This window comes from Homo sapiens, chromosome 7, assembly GCF_000001405.40.
Source record: "Homo sapiens chromosome 7, GRCh38.p14 Primary Assembly".
Classification (NCBI taxonomy): Eukaryota; Metazoa; Chordata; class Mammalia; order Primates; family Hominidae; genus Homo; species Homo sapiens.
Window position 1 is genome coordinate 45,000,717 of NC_000007.14, and position 13,109 is coordinate 45,013,825.

Sequence of the window (13,109 nt, forward strand, 5' to 3'; positions counted from 1 at the left end):
GGAGACGTTTGCTGCTCACTGGACTTCGTTTTTGGATATCCAGTAAAAGCAAGGGTGGCCTTCACCTTATGGCCAGCTCACTCGTCCACTATCACTCAGACCTAAAACCATTGATTGATTTTAGTGACGCTAGCTACATTTGGCAGTGGGATTTAGGACATAGTTCATAGTCAAACCCCAGTTTATGTAGTTTTACAAAATGTGGCTTTAATTACAGTAAAGGGTTATAGTAGTCGATAAAGAAACATTTTAAGACTGGAAAAACGATGTGGATTGAACTACCATTAAAGTGGAAAATGGATTTTAATAAAATGTATCTTTTTCAAATAAATGCTTTATAATCTTCACGTCTTGGCTATCATTTTCTTTTTGATGTGTGTGTGCGCACTTTTATCCACAAGTTTAAAGCAGACCTCGATAATTCCTAACTATGATTTTACTACCCTGAACTCTGCAGGGAAGTGTCCTTTAATTGACAGCTACTCACCACCTTGTTTGACAGAGTGCCCCATTTAAAAGTCCTGTTTGAAATAGAATGTAGCCAGGTGGCCTTCAGGGAGTCCTGTGGTGCTGGTTCTCTACTTTCTCAACTCATTGTTTCATGTTAGCACCATGCATGTCTAATTTAGGTGCAGTATAATTTGCGGTTATCTACAAAGATGTTTTAAGTCTGGAAAATAGCTCAAGATAGTGATTCAGCCTGCAGGTGTTAGATTAGAGATGCGTGCTGCGCACAGAAGAGGGAGGAGCCAAGCAGTGTAAAAGGAGTTAGCTGGAAAGGAGAGGTGCTAACCCGGTGGCTGCTTAGTAGGGACCATCAGGCCCGAGTGTGGATGATGCTGAGCTTTGCGGAAAGTGAGCCATGTGCTCTGTGGAATGCCGGGATCCAAGAGCGCGCTAAGGACTGATGACCTCATTGTGCACCGCTTACAGGAGTACCTGGCCCATCTACCTGTGTGTGATAGGCAAGGATGGAATTGAGTGATTTTTTTTTCTAGAGCTGTCTATCAGCTTTGGTAGAAACATGAAACACCCAGCAAATAGGGAGAGAGAGAGAGAAGCAGTAAGACTGTTTTTGGGGTACAAGTGAAAAAACAGTAAAATTATCAAGAATTTTCCAGTTGGGTAATGAAAAAATTTAGGCATAAACAGGTTAATTATTAATTTCATTTTCTCACTAGAGGAGATAATCAGTTGTTATGTAGTTGCTTAAGCCAGGGGTTTTGTGTTTTTTCTGTATTCTGCCACTTGTCTTAGCTTGTTTCCTGTAGACAAGCCAGACAAGGAGCTTTGGGGCATGGATTCTTCTCCAGGTCATGACTTAACACTACCTCGTGTACTCTGCCAGTTGCAAGCTGGCAGAACCTTCCTGCTCAGCTACCACATTCAATGTGAGATCACCTCCAGTTTAATAACTTCGGTGGTTAAATCATTCTCATTAAGGTAAATTGCATTGCTCTAAACTTATACACAAATTCAGACATAAGTAGCAGAAGTGCTGACAATAGTTTTATGAAGGTACAGTTTGGACGCTTAAATTCTTCTAAGTTAGCTTCTTCAAAAAATGCAGAATTAGGCTGGGTATGGTAGCTACGCCTGTAATCCAGCACTTTGGGAGGCCAAGGCTCGATCACTTTAGCTCAGGAGTTCGAGACCAGCCTGGGCAACATGGCAAAACCCCATCTATACAAAAAATACAGAAATTAGCCAGGCGCGGCAGCGCTCGCCTATAGTCTCAGCTACTTGGGAGGCTGAGGCAGGAGGATCACCTGAGCTCAGGTGGGCCTTTTTTTTTTTTTTCTTTTTAATCTCAGACACTTGTCTTGGTGTCTGCCAAGCAGTGATTCAGGCTTTTTTTTACCTCGGCCCATTTTCCTCAGGACACAGGAATCAGTGAGTTGGCAGAGAACCTATGGACCAAAGTGAGTCTCACGGAAACTTGGCCCCAGTGTATCACTGCCCTTTCTCAAGTCACCTCAGCACATGTGGTGATGATGACTGTACACCTGGGTTTCCTCAAGTGGGCCATGGTTCGTTTAACAAATGTCTGTTGAGCCCCTCTTGTGTCCCATGAAACTCACTGGGTGATGGGGATACAGGAAGAGCTTGTGGCCCCCAGGAGCTGATGGGGAGATGGATCACTCATGGGTCCATCTGAAGGAATGAGTGCATTGACAGAAAAGTCCTCTGGCCACTAAAGGTGTGGGGCCTGGGGAGTAGAAGTGACCACTTGGGGCTGCTCTTCTGTCCTGATGTCTACAGAGTGTCTACTTTTTAGCCTACAAGTTCTGTTTTGGGGTTTGGAGAATAAGGCTCCTACCTACGGTATGGACTCATGTTCTGTGCATTGTGGCACTATGTAATTCCTTTTTTTTTGAGATAGAGTTTCGCTCTTGTTGCCCAGGCTGGAGTGCAATGGCACGATCTCAGCTCACTGCAACCTCCGCCTCCCGGGTTCAGGTGATTCTCTTGCCTCAGCCTCCCGAGTAGCTGGGATTACAGGCGTGTGCCATCATGCCCAGCTAATTTTTGTATTTTTAGTAGAGACGGGGTTTCTCCATGTTGGTCAGGCTAGTCTCAAACTCCGGATCTCAGGTGATCCACCCACCTTGGCCTCCCAAGGTGCTGGGTGGCTGAGCCACCGCACCTGACAGTAATTCCTTTTTATTAGAAACTTGGATGCACTTAAGTTGGGTTGTGTGGATTTTTATACTCAGATCACAGCCCAAAAAAGCTGTCTTGTCAGGGTTGGGTGTAGGTAATCCTAACACTTTGGGAGGCCGAAGCAGGCGGATCACTTGACACCAGGAGTTTGAGACCAGCCTGGCCAGCATGGTGAAACCCCGTCTCTACTAAAAATACAAAATTAGCTGGGCGTGGTGGCATGTGCCTATAATCCCAGTTAGGAGGCTGAGGCAGGAGAATCTCTTGAACCCGGGAGGTGGAGGTTGCAGTGAGCTGAGATCATGCCACTGTACTCCAGCCTGGGCAACAGGGCAAGACTCCATCTCCAAAAAAAAAAAAAAACCATCTTGTGGCCTTAACCTTGTGGGTCTCAGCTTCTCTGCTGCCTCTGGTCTTCGGTTGCCCCACCAGGTGGCTATGATTTCACACTGATCAAAGTTAAATATTTTTACATTCATCTAGTTTATTTGCATTGTTTAAGGTAGAAAAAGGTTATAGGTTGAGTGTAGTGGCTACGCCTGTAATCCCAGCACTTTGGGAGACTGAGGTGGGAGGATCACTTGAGCCTAGGAGTTTGAGATCAGCCTGGACAATGTAGTGAGACCCTATCTCTACAAAAAATAAGAAAATTAGCTGAGCATGGTGGTGCATGCCTGTAGTTCCAGCTACTTGGGATGCTGAGAAGGGAAGATCGCTTGAGCCCTGGAGGTCGAGGCTGCAGTGAGTGTGATTGTGCCACCACCTGAGTGACAGCAAGACCCTGTCTCAAGAAGAAAAAGAGAAAAAAAAGGTTATAAAGTTCCCTAGAAATGTAGGACTAGATATTAAATAATAAATAAGGAATTATTAATTTTGTTGGGTATGATAATTAAGTTCTGATCTGATAGGCATGTATTCTGAGATATTTGTAGGTGAAATAATATGATTTCTGGGATTTGCTTTACTCAAAATAGAAGAAACAAAGGGGATAGCTGAATGCTTTGGTAATGGTTATATATTGTTCTGTCTACTTTTATGTATTTTTGAGAATTTCCATAATAAAAAGTGGAGGGGAAAAGATCCTCTAGGTTACAGGCCCTGAACTATCAGCTGCTGTAGTCACTGCTGGACCAGTGTCTGTGAGGAACTGAAAGCTTGGATTGGACCAGTACCTTTTAAAATTTGGTCACTGCAGGCACCAGGAAGCCATACCTTCTCCATGCTGACCTGATGCAGACATAAATGTGTGTGTCTGTATAACCGAAGTGAAAGTTTAAAGGAACCACACTTAAACGCTCTGATTTTTTAATTCTATTTTTTTTTCTTTCTATTACAACTGGTGGTTGGCCAGGTGCGGTGGCTCACACTGGTAATCCCAGCACTTTGGGAGGCTGAGGTGGGTGGATCACCTGTCAGGAGTCTGAGACCAGCCATGGTGAAACCCCATCTCTACTAAAAATACAAAAATTAGCTGAGCGTGGTGGTGGGGCCTGTAATCCTAGCTACTTGTGAGGCTGAGGCAGGAGAATTGCTTGAACTCGGGAGATGGAGGTTGCAGTGAGCTGAGAATGTGCCATTGCGCTCCAGCCTGGGCGACAAGAGTAAGACTCCGTCTCAAAAAAAAAAAAAAGGCTCATGGTCATGACCCACTAAACCGATTCTATAACTGTCACAAGCCATACTTGGGTTCAGAAGGTGAATTGGGGCTGCTATATTTTGTTTTATTTTTCCTCTTGGGTAGCTATTGCAGTGATTCTTGGATGGCAACTTGGTAACTCAGGGTCAGGAGGCTGGAGAACCAGGCAGGAGGTGCTCAGCAGAGAACCTAAGGCAGCCAGTAGGTGAGGCCAGAATGATCGGCAACATAAGGCTGGTTACTTTTCTGTCTTGAAGAGTTACCATTTACATAGTATGTATTTGTTAATTTTCAACATATTGTCAGATTCTGTCATAATTTAGATTCAGAAAGCACATCAGAACCTTCCAGGGCTGCTCTGAGCATCCTTTCAGAGGAAGATAGTGTAAAGCAAAACGTTTCTCTTAGCAATATTATTGCAGTGAAGGGCTTCCCTGCAGACGAGAAGGGCGTCTGCAGTCTGCCCCACTGGGGCGCTTACTCTTGATCTTCCAGTTTTTTCATTTCCGTCAGCAGTGCCCCCTCCTTGTTGTCACTTTGCAGTGTAAGTAAATGGTCATGATTAAGTCCTATAAACCTAACTATTGAGCATTTAAATCACCCTCTATTGTTGGTTTACGTGGTGGCGATACAAGTTTTTAGTGAGATAACTTGGTCATGCCTTGCCTATTATGTGCTTAGCCCACTGAGAAGAGGGTTAGGGACATTGCACTTTGGAAAGTAGGTCACTTACACCTAAAATTAGAGACTAAAGGCAGACCTAGGATGTCAGAAGAGACATGGGGCAGGCAGCAGCCACTTCCAGCCAGGTTGAGACCGGGACTGTGTCCTGCAGTTCAGAAGCAGAGATGAGGTGGAGAGGACCCCCCAGTCCTGGGAAGTCCTTGGGCTGGGAAGTTGGGTGTTGGTTCTGTATGCACTTGAAGCCACTGGAGGTGTTCCACATCATGCATTCACTTGTCCATTAAACTATTGTTTATTAGCACCAATGGTGTCAGACACAGATGCTGGAGACTGAAATGTGTACGGTGAGCCTGTGGCTGCAGAGCAGGAAGTGGAGCCCGGGGATGGATGGTGGGAGCAGGCTTTGGTAAGAGTGATCAGGAACACCTTTATGAAAACTTCAAAAGCAAATGTAAAGAAAAAAAATCATGTAACGAAGTCCCCTGTGCCCATGTGTGGGCAGTCAGTTTCATGTGCACCTTCTCCTCATTCCTGCTTCCTGCCTGTGTGGGCCGAATAGTGTCCCCTCAGAGTCATGTGCTGAAGCCCCTACTTCCAGGACCTCAGGATGTGACTGTATTTGAAGATGGAGTCTTTTTTTTTTTATTTGTTTTTATTTTAGACGGAGTCTTGTTGCTCTGTCACCCAGGCTGGAGTGCAGTGGTGCAATCTTGGCTCGCTGCAAGCTCCGCCTCCCAGGTTCCCGCCATTCTCCTGCCTCGGCCTCCTGAGTAGCTAGGACTACAGGTGCCCGCCACCACACCTGGCTAATTTTTTTGTATTTTTGGTAGAGATGGGGTTTCACCGTATTAGCCAGGATGGTCTCAATCTCCTGACTCCGTGATCCACCCACCTCGGCCTCCCAAAGTGCTGGGATTATAGGCTTGAGCCACCATGCCTGGCCTGAAGATGGAGTCTTTAAGGAGGTGATTGAGGTAAAATGAGGTAATTGTGTGGGCCCTAATCCAATCTGATGGATGTCCTTATAGGAAGTTATTAGGACACAGAGAGGAATGATCATTGGAGGACTCATGGAGAAGGCAGCCATCTGCAAGCCAAGGAGAGACCTCAGGAGAAACCACCCTGCTAAATTTACCTTGATCTTGGACTTTCAGCATCTAGACTCTAAGAGAATAAGTTTCTATTATTGAAGCCACTCAAGTCTATAATACTTAGTCCTGGCAGCCCAAGAAGGCTAATGCACCAGGTGATTTTGAAGCAAACCCTAGAGTTCAGTTTGTAGATAGAAGTGCAGTAGTAACTCATCAAGACAGAAGAGTAACAAGCCTTATGTTGCTGGTCATTCTGGCCTCATCTGCTGGCTGCCTTAGGGTCTCTGGGGTGAGTTCTGAGGACCAAGTCTACACTGTCAACATGGCCACGGACGAGCTGCTCAGAGTGACAGGACAACCCTCACTGTGCTGTATGTAAACCATAAATCACAGCACACTCTTTGTGGTTGGGAGAACATGTATGGTGTTTTGGGAGCTGGCACAGTCAGGGATGTCATTCATTTCATCTGGGACAGGCTTTGTGCTCTGGGATCTGTGGCGGGAGCAGTGAGCCCAGCCATGTCCTCTGCATGCATCGCTGTGTCCTTGTGAACAGTGGATCTTTGTTAGCGCGCTTCGCACTCCTTGGCTTTTTTATCTTTCAATCAAGAACAGCAACTGCTCTTCAAATGATTCTACAGGTATGAGGGAGTTTACATTTGGATTTGTCAATGGAACCATTAGGATTTTTTGTTTGTTTGTTTTGTAAAAATAAGAACTTTTTTCCTTAGCCTTGTGTCTGTGCCAAAAATGTGACCTTTTTTTTTCTCCCAAGTGTGCCCAAACAGTAACAATTTTTTGCTTGGATTATGTTAAGAATTAGGGCATTTGACCATAGGCATTAGATGTATGTGCAATGAAAGTGATCCCCTTTAATAAGCATAATAGGAACATGGAATTTGGGCTTTTGTTTGCAGCTTAGGATGATGGTGTGTCTTGTAACCCAAGGAGGTTTTTCACTTTTCTGAAAGTGAGAAGACTGGTCAGCCTAAACCCGTGGTGTCACTGTTCTTAAGGGAAACCTAGTTGAGGAGTGGGAGATAACCATTTCACATGTTGTTTTTGTACCTTGGAGAAAAAAAAGAGAGAAGCCTTTATTTAAATCTTTATGTCTATTCTATAGTTTAAAATTCCATACAGGTTTTTTTCAAAAAATCAAATTTGCTTCCTGTGTGTTGTCACCATGAGCTCTCTGGTCAGGTGTGGAAACTGAAATGTTTCCCTTGTTGGTTTATGTGGTGGGGTACATTTTTTTTTTTTTTTTTTTTTGAGGTGGAGTCTTGCTCTGCTGCCCAGGCTGGAGTGCAGTTGCATGACCTCAGCTCACTGCAGGCTCCGCCTCCTGGGTTCAAGCAATTCTGCCTCAGCCTCCCAAGTAGCTGGGACTATAGGTGCGTGTTCCCATGCCCGGCTAATTTTTTTATTTTTGGTAGAGATGGGGTTTCCCCATGTTGGCAAGAATGGTCTTGATCTCTTGACCTCATGATCCACCCGCCTCGTCCTCCCGAAGTCCTGACCAATGTGTGCCTCTGTGTGCCACCGTGCCTGGCCAAGGGTACATGTTCTTTTTTTTTTTTTTTTTTTTTTTTTTTGAGACAGTTTTGCTCTTGCCCAGGCTGGAGTGCAGTGGCGCGATCTCGGCTCACCACAACCTCTACCTCCCAGGTTCAAGCGATTCTCCTGCCTCAGCCTTCCCAAGTAGCTGGGATTACAGGCATGCGCCACCAAGTCCGGCTAATTTTGTATTTTTAGTAGAGACGGGGTTTCTCCATGTGGGTCAGACTGGTCTCAAACTCCCAACCTCAGGTGATCCACCTACCTCGGCCTCCCAAAGTACTGGGATTACAGGCGTGAGCCACCGCACCCGGCCAAGGGTACATGTTCTTAATGAGATGCCTTGGTCAGGTCTAAGTGTCAGTTATGGTGCATGTTGATTTTCTGTCAGATGTCTGAAAATGCCCTAGATATGATTATGTCTAGCTAATTTATTACTGCCATTAGATACATCACCTTTACATAGCTTTTACTTTTCATGCTACTGGGTATAGACAATAACCATAGCCCACCTGCCTGTGCACTTCTAATATCAGGCTGAGTTCAAGTTCCTTTCTAAGGCTCCCCCTCTCACTTAGTATTGTCCGTCTTTCTTGAAAGAGGTATGTGCAGCCTCCGTGTTTGCTTTTTCCAGCACATTCTTCCACCCTCAGCATTTTATGATGAAAATTTTTGGGACAGGCACGGTGCTCACGCCTCTAATCCCAGCACTTTAGAAGGCCAAGGCAGGCAGATCACCTGAGATCAGAAGTTCAAGACCAGCCTGGCCAACATGGCGAAATGCTATCTCTACAAAAATACAAAAATAAGCAGGGCATGGTGGTGTGTGCCTGTAATCCCAGCTACTCCAGAGGCTGAGGCAGGAGAATCGCTTGAACCCGGGAGGCAGAGGTTGCTGTGAGCCAAGATTGCGCCATTGCACTCCAGCCTGGGCGACAGAGGGAGCCTCTGTCTCAAAAAAAAAAAAAAAAAAAAAATTTTTGAGTACACCAAAGTTGAAAGAATTTTGCAGTGAATACTTGCACCTAGATTCTGCCACTAACGTTGGCTATACTTGTTTTTTTTTTTTTTTTTTTTGAGACGGAGTCTCACTCTGTCACCTAGGATGGAGTGCAATGGCGTGATTTCGGCTCATTGCAACCTCCGCCTCCTTTGTTCAAGCGATTCTCCTGCCTCAGCCTCCCCAGCAGCTGGGATTACAGGCATGTGCCATCACGCCTGGCTAAGTTTTTGTATTTAGTAGAGATAGGGTTTCACCATGTTGGTGGGGCTGGTCTAGAACTCCTGACCTCAGATGATCCGCCCACCTCGGCCTCCCAAAGTGCTGGGATTACACTCATGAGCCACCCTGCCTGGCCTGGCTATACTTGTTTTATCCCATATCTAGCATTTGTTTATCACTGTACCTGCCCATCAACTCATTTTATTTTTCTGATGCATTCCTCAATAAATTGCAGACATTGTTTCACTTTGATCTAAATACATTAGCATGCATGTCATTAACTAGGGTTCAATATTTGCTTACAGTTTTCTTTTGATGTAAAATTATGTAACAATGAAATACACACTTTTTTTTTTTTTTTAAACAGGGTCTCACTCTGTCACAGAGGCTGGAGTGCCGTGGTGCAATCATGGCACACTGCAGCCTTGACTTCCCAGACTCAAGTGATCCTCCCGCCCCAGTCTCCTCAGTAGCTAGGACTAAATGGGTTTGTCACCATGCCCAGCTAATTTTTTTTATTTTTTGTAGAGACGAGGTCTCACTGTGTTGCCCAGGCTGGTCTTGAATTCCTGGGCTTAAGCAATCCTTCTGTCTCGGCCTGCCAAAGTGTTGGTATTACAGGCGTGAGCCACTGCTCCTGGCCAAATAATACACATCTTCAGTGAATATTAGCTAAATTTTGACAAATGCATACTCCTACGTAACTGAAACCCCTACTAAGAAATAAAATATTACCTACCATCACTGAGAAAATTCCCTTATGCCCCTTAGAAAGTCCTTCCCCCAAGGTAGTACTGTTCTGATTTTTTTCCACCATAGGTTAATTTTGTTCATTCTAGAACTTCATACAGATGGATTCATACAGTATACATTGTGTTGTGCAGGGATCACTGTACTCAGCATAATGTTTTTGAGATTTATCCATATATTGCTGCATGTTTCAGTTGCTGAGTAATATTTTGTTGTATGTTTATGCTGTGATTTGTTTATTCATTTGTTGGAGATTTAGTTTCTTTCTAGTTTGTGTATATATATATATATTTTTTTGAGATGGAGTTTTGCTCTTGTCGCACAGACTGGAATGCAATGGTGTGATCTCAGCTCACTGTAACCTCTGCCTCCTGGGTTCAAGTGATTCTCCTGCCTCAGCCTCCTGAGTAGGTGGGATTATAGGTGCCCGCCACGATGCCTGGCTAATTTTTGTATTTTTAGTAGAGATGGGGTTTCACCATGTTGGCCAGGCTGGTCTCGAACCCCTGACCTCAGGTGATACACTTGCCACGGCCTCCCAGTCTACTTTGTATTTTGAAAAAGCTGCTGTGAACATTTGTGAATGAGTCATTATGTGAACATGTTTTCATTTATTTTGGGTAAATACCTAATAATGGAATTGCTGAATTTTATGGGAACTATATGTTTAACTTTATAAGACACTGCCAAACTTTCTGCTAAATTTTTGTCTCCTAATTCTTTGTTTTTTTCTCTTTCCAGAGACAGGGTCTCATTCTGTAACCCAGGCTGGAGTGTAGTGGTGCAATCAGAGCTCAGTATAACCTCAAACTCCTGCAGTTCTCATGCCTCAACCTCCCAAGTAGTTAGGACGATAGGTGTGTGCCACTATGCCCAGCTAAATTTTTTTTTTTTTTGAGACGGAGTCTCACTCTTGTTGCCCAGGTTGGAGTGCAATGGTGCGATCTCAGCTCACTGCAGCCTCTGCCTCCCAAGTTCTAGTTATTCTCATGCCTCAGCCTCCCTGGTAGCTGGGATTACAGGTGCCCGCCACCACACCCGGCTAATTTTTGTATTTTTAGTAGAGATGGGGTTTCACCATGTTGGCCGGGCTCCTCTCGAACTCCTGACCTCAGGTGATCCAGCTGCCTTGGCCTCCCAAAGTGCTGGGATTATAGGTGTGAGCCACTGTACCCAGCTGGGCTAATTTTTAAAAATTTTTATTTTTATGTTTTATTTTTTAATGGTTGCTTTATTTATTTATTTATTTACTGAGATGGAGTCTCACTCTGTTGCCCAGGCTGGGGTGCAGTGGCGTGATCTTGGCTCACTGCAACCTCTGCCTCCTGGTTTCAATCAATTCTCCTACCTCAGCCTCCCAAGTAGCTGAGATTACTGGTGCCCACCACTATGCCTGGCTAATTTTTGTATTTTTAGTAGAGGTGAGGTTTCAATATGTTGGCCAGGATGATCTCAAATTCTTGATCTCAAGTGATCTGCCTGCCTTGGCCTCTCTAAAAGTGCTGAGATTATAGGTGTAAGCCATCGTGCCCTGCCCTGGCTAACTTTTTAAAAAGTTTTTGTAGAGTATCAGTATTTTAGTATGTTGTCCAGGGTGGTCTTGGACACCTGGCCTAAAGCCACCTTGGCCTCCCAAAGTGCTGGGATTACAGGCATGAGCCACTGCATCCAGCTAATCCTGTCAGTTATTGAGAGAGAGGGTGTTAAGTTCTCTAGTTATTATTTTGGATTTGTTTTTCCCTTTAGTTAGTTTTGGCTTCATGTATTTTGAAGCTCTGTTGTTAAGTACATACACATTTAGGATCATAATATCTTTTTTTTTTTTTTTTTTTTGAGATGGTAGTCTTTCTCTCTTACCCAGGCTGCAGTGTAGTGCTACGATCTTGGCTAACTGCAACCTCCACCTCCTGGGTTCAAGTGATTCTCCTGTCTCAGCCTTCTGAGTAGCTGGAATTACAGGCATGCACCACCATGCCCAGGTAATTTTTGTATTTTTAGTAGAGACGGGGTTTTGCCATGTTAGCCAGCCTGGTCTTGAACTCCTGACCTCAGGTGATCCACCCGCCTCGGCCTCCCAAAGTGCTGGGATTACAGGTGTGAGCCACTGCTCCCAGCCCATAATGTCTTGTTGAAATGAATCTTTTTCATTATGACATGACCATCTTTATTTCTAGTAAGACTTCTTGTCCCAATCTCTTGTCTGATATTAATATAGCTACACCACATTCTTTTTTTGCCTTAGGGACTTTAGCAACTGCCGAAGAGTCTCGCTCTGTCGCCGAGGCTGGAGAGCAGTAGTATGATCATAACTCACTGCAGCCTTGAACTCCTGGGCTCAAGTGATCTTCTGCCTCAGCCTCCCAGGTAGCTGGGAGTACAGGTGTGCGCCACCATGCCTGGCTAATTTTTTTTTTTTTAGAGATGGGGTCTCACTATGTTGCCCAGGTCGTCTCAAACTCCTGGCCTCAGTGATCCTCTTCAGCCTCCCGAGAAGCTGGGGTTACGGCCTTGAGCCAGCCACACCTGGCTACCCCACTTTCTTATGCTGCATGTTTGCATGGTGTGTGTCTTTCAACAAGTCTGGAGTTTTAAACTGCATGCTTTATAAAGAGCATTTTGTTACAGCTTGCTTTTTTATCTAGTCTGATAGTTTCTGCCTTTTAATTGTGAAGTTTACATAATTGATGTCATTATGTTTAAGTCTATCATTTTGATATTTGTTTTCTCTTTCCCTTTGTGCTTTCTTCCTTTGTTTCTCCTTTTTGATTATTTTTAACTCTGTTCTATTGCTACTGGCTTTTTTGCTGTAACTCCTCTATATATTGCTATATATATCCATGTCTTGTCACAGATTACCATCCATTAATATCATTTCTTTCTTGTACACTGTAAGAACCTATCAGCAGTATCATTCCATTTGTACTCCCTCCTGTTTTTTGCAAACTTTTTGGCATATATTTTCTTTCTATACGTGTTATAAATCTTACATTAGATTTTTTTTTTGCTTTAAACAATCGACTTTTCACCTTTTTATATTGAAATGATTTAATTATATATACGTAGTAGACTTAAAGCACACAGAGTATATACAGAGTACACAGAGCCCTCATACGCCTTCCACCCAGATCCCTCAAGTGTTAACATTTCTGAACCATTAAGAATAAGCTGTAGACATAATGCCCCATGACCCTTTAACACTTCAACTGTACCTTCCTTGGTACAAGGACACTCTAACCACACCATTCTGACATCATTAAAATCAGGAAATTGACATCCATTTGATCTTGCTACGTAATTCATGACCCCACCCAGACTTGCTGATTGTTATGATACTTTCTTTATATAGCTCTAGGATCCATAGATTTTATAGATTCAGGATCATGTGTTGCATTTGGTTTGCATGTCTCTTTAGGCTCTTTGAACTTGAAATGGTTCCTAGTCTTTTCTTGTCTCTGATGATTGATATTTTTGAAGATTACAGATCAGTTAGTAGGATGTCTCTCAGTTG

General features: G+C 44.1%; 1 protein-coding gene across 7 annotated transcripts in view; it reads left to right on the top strand.

The window, feature by feature from the left end:
• Positions 1 to 13,109, top strand: part of CCM2 (CCM2 scaffold protein) — a 76,725-nt gene that overhangs the window by 971 nt on the left and 62,645 nt on the right. The gene's annotated exons all lie outside the window — the stretch shown is intronic.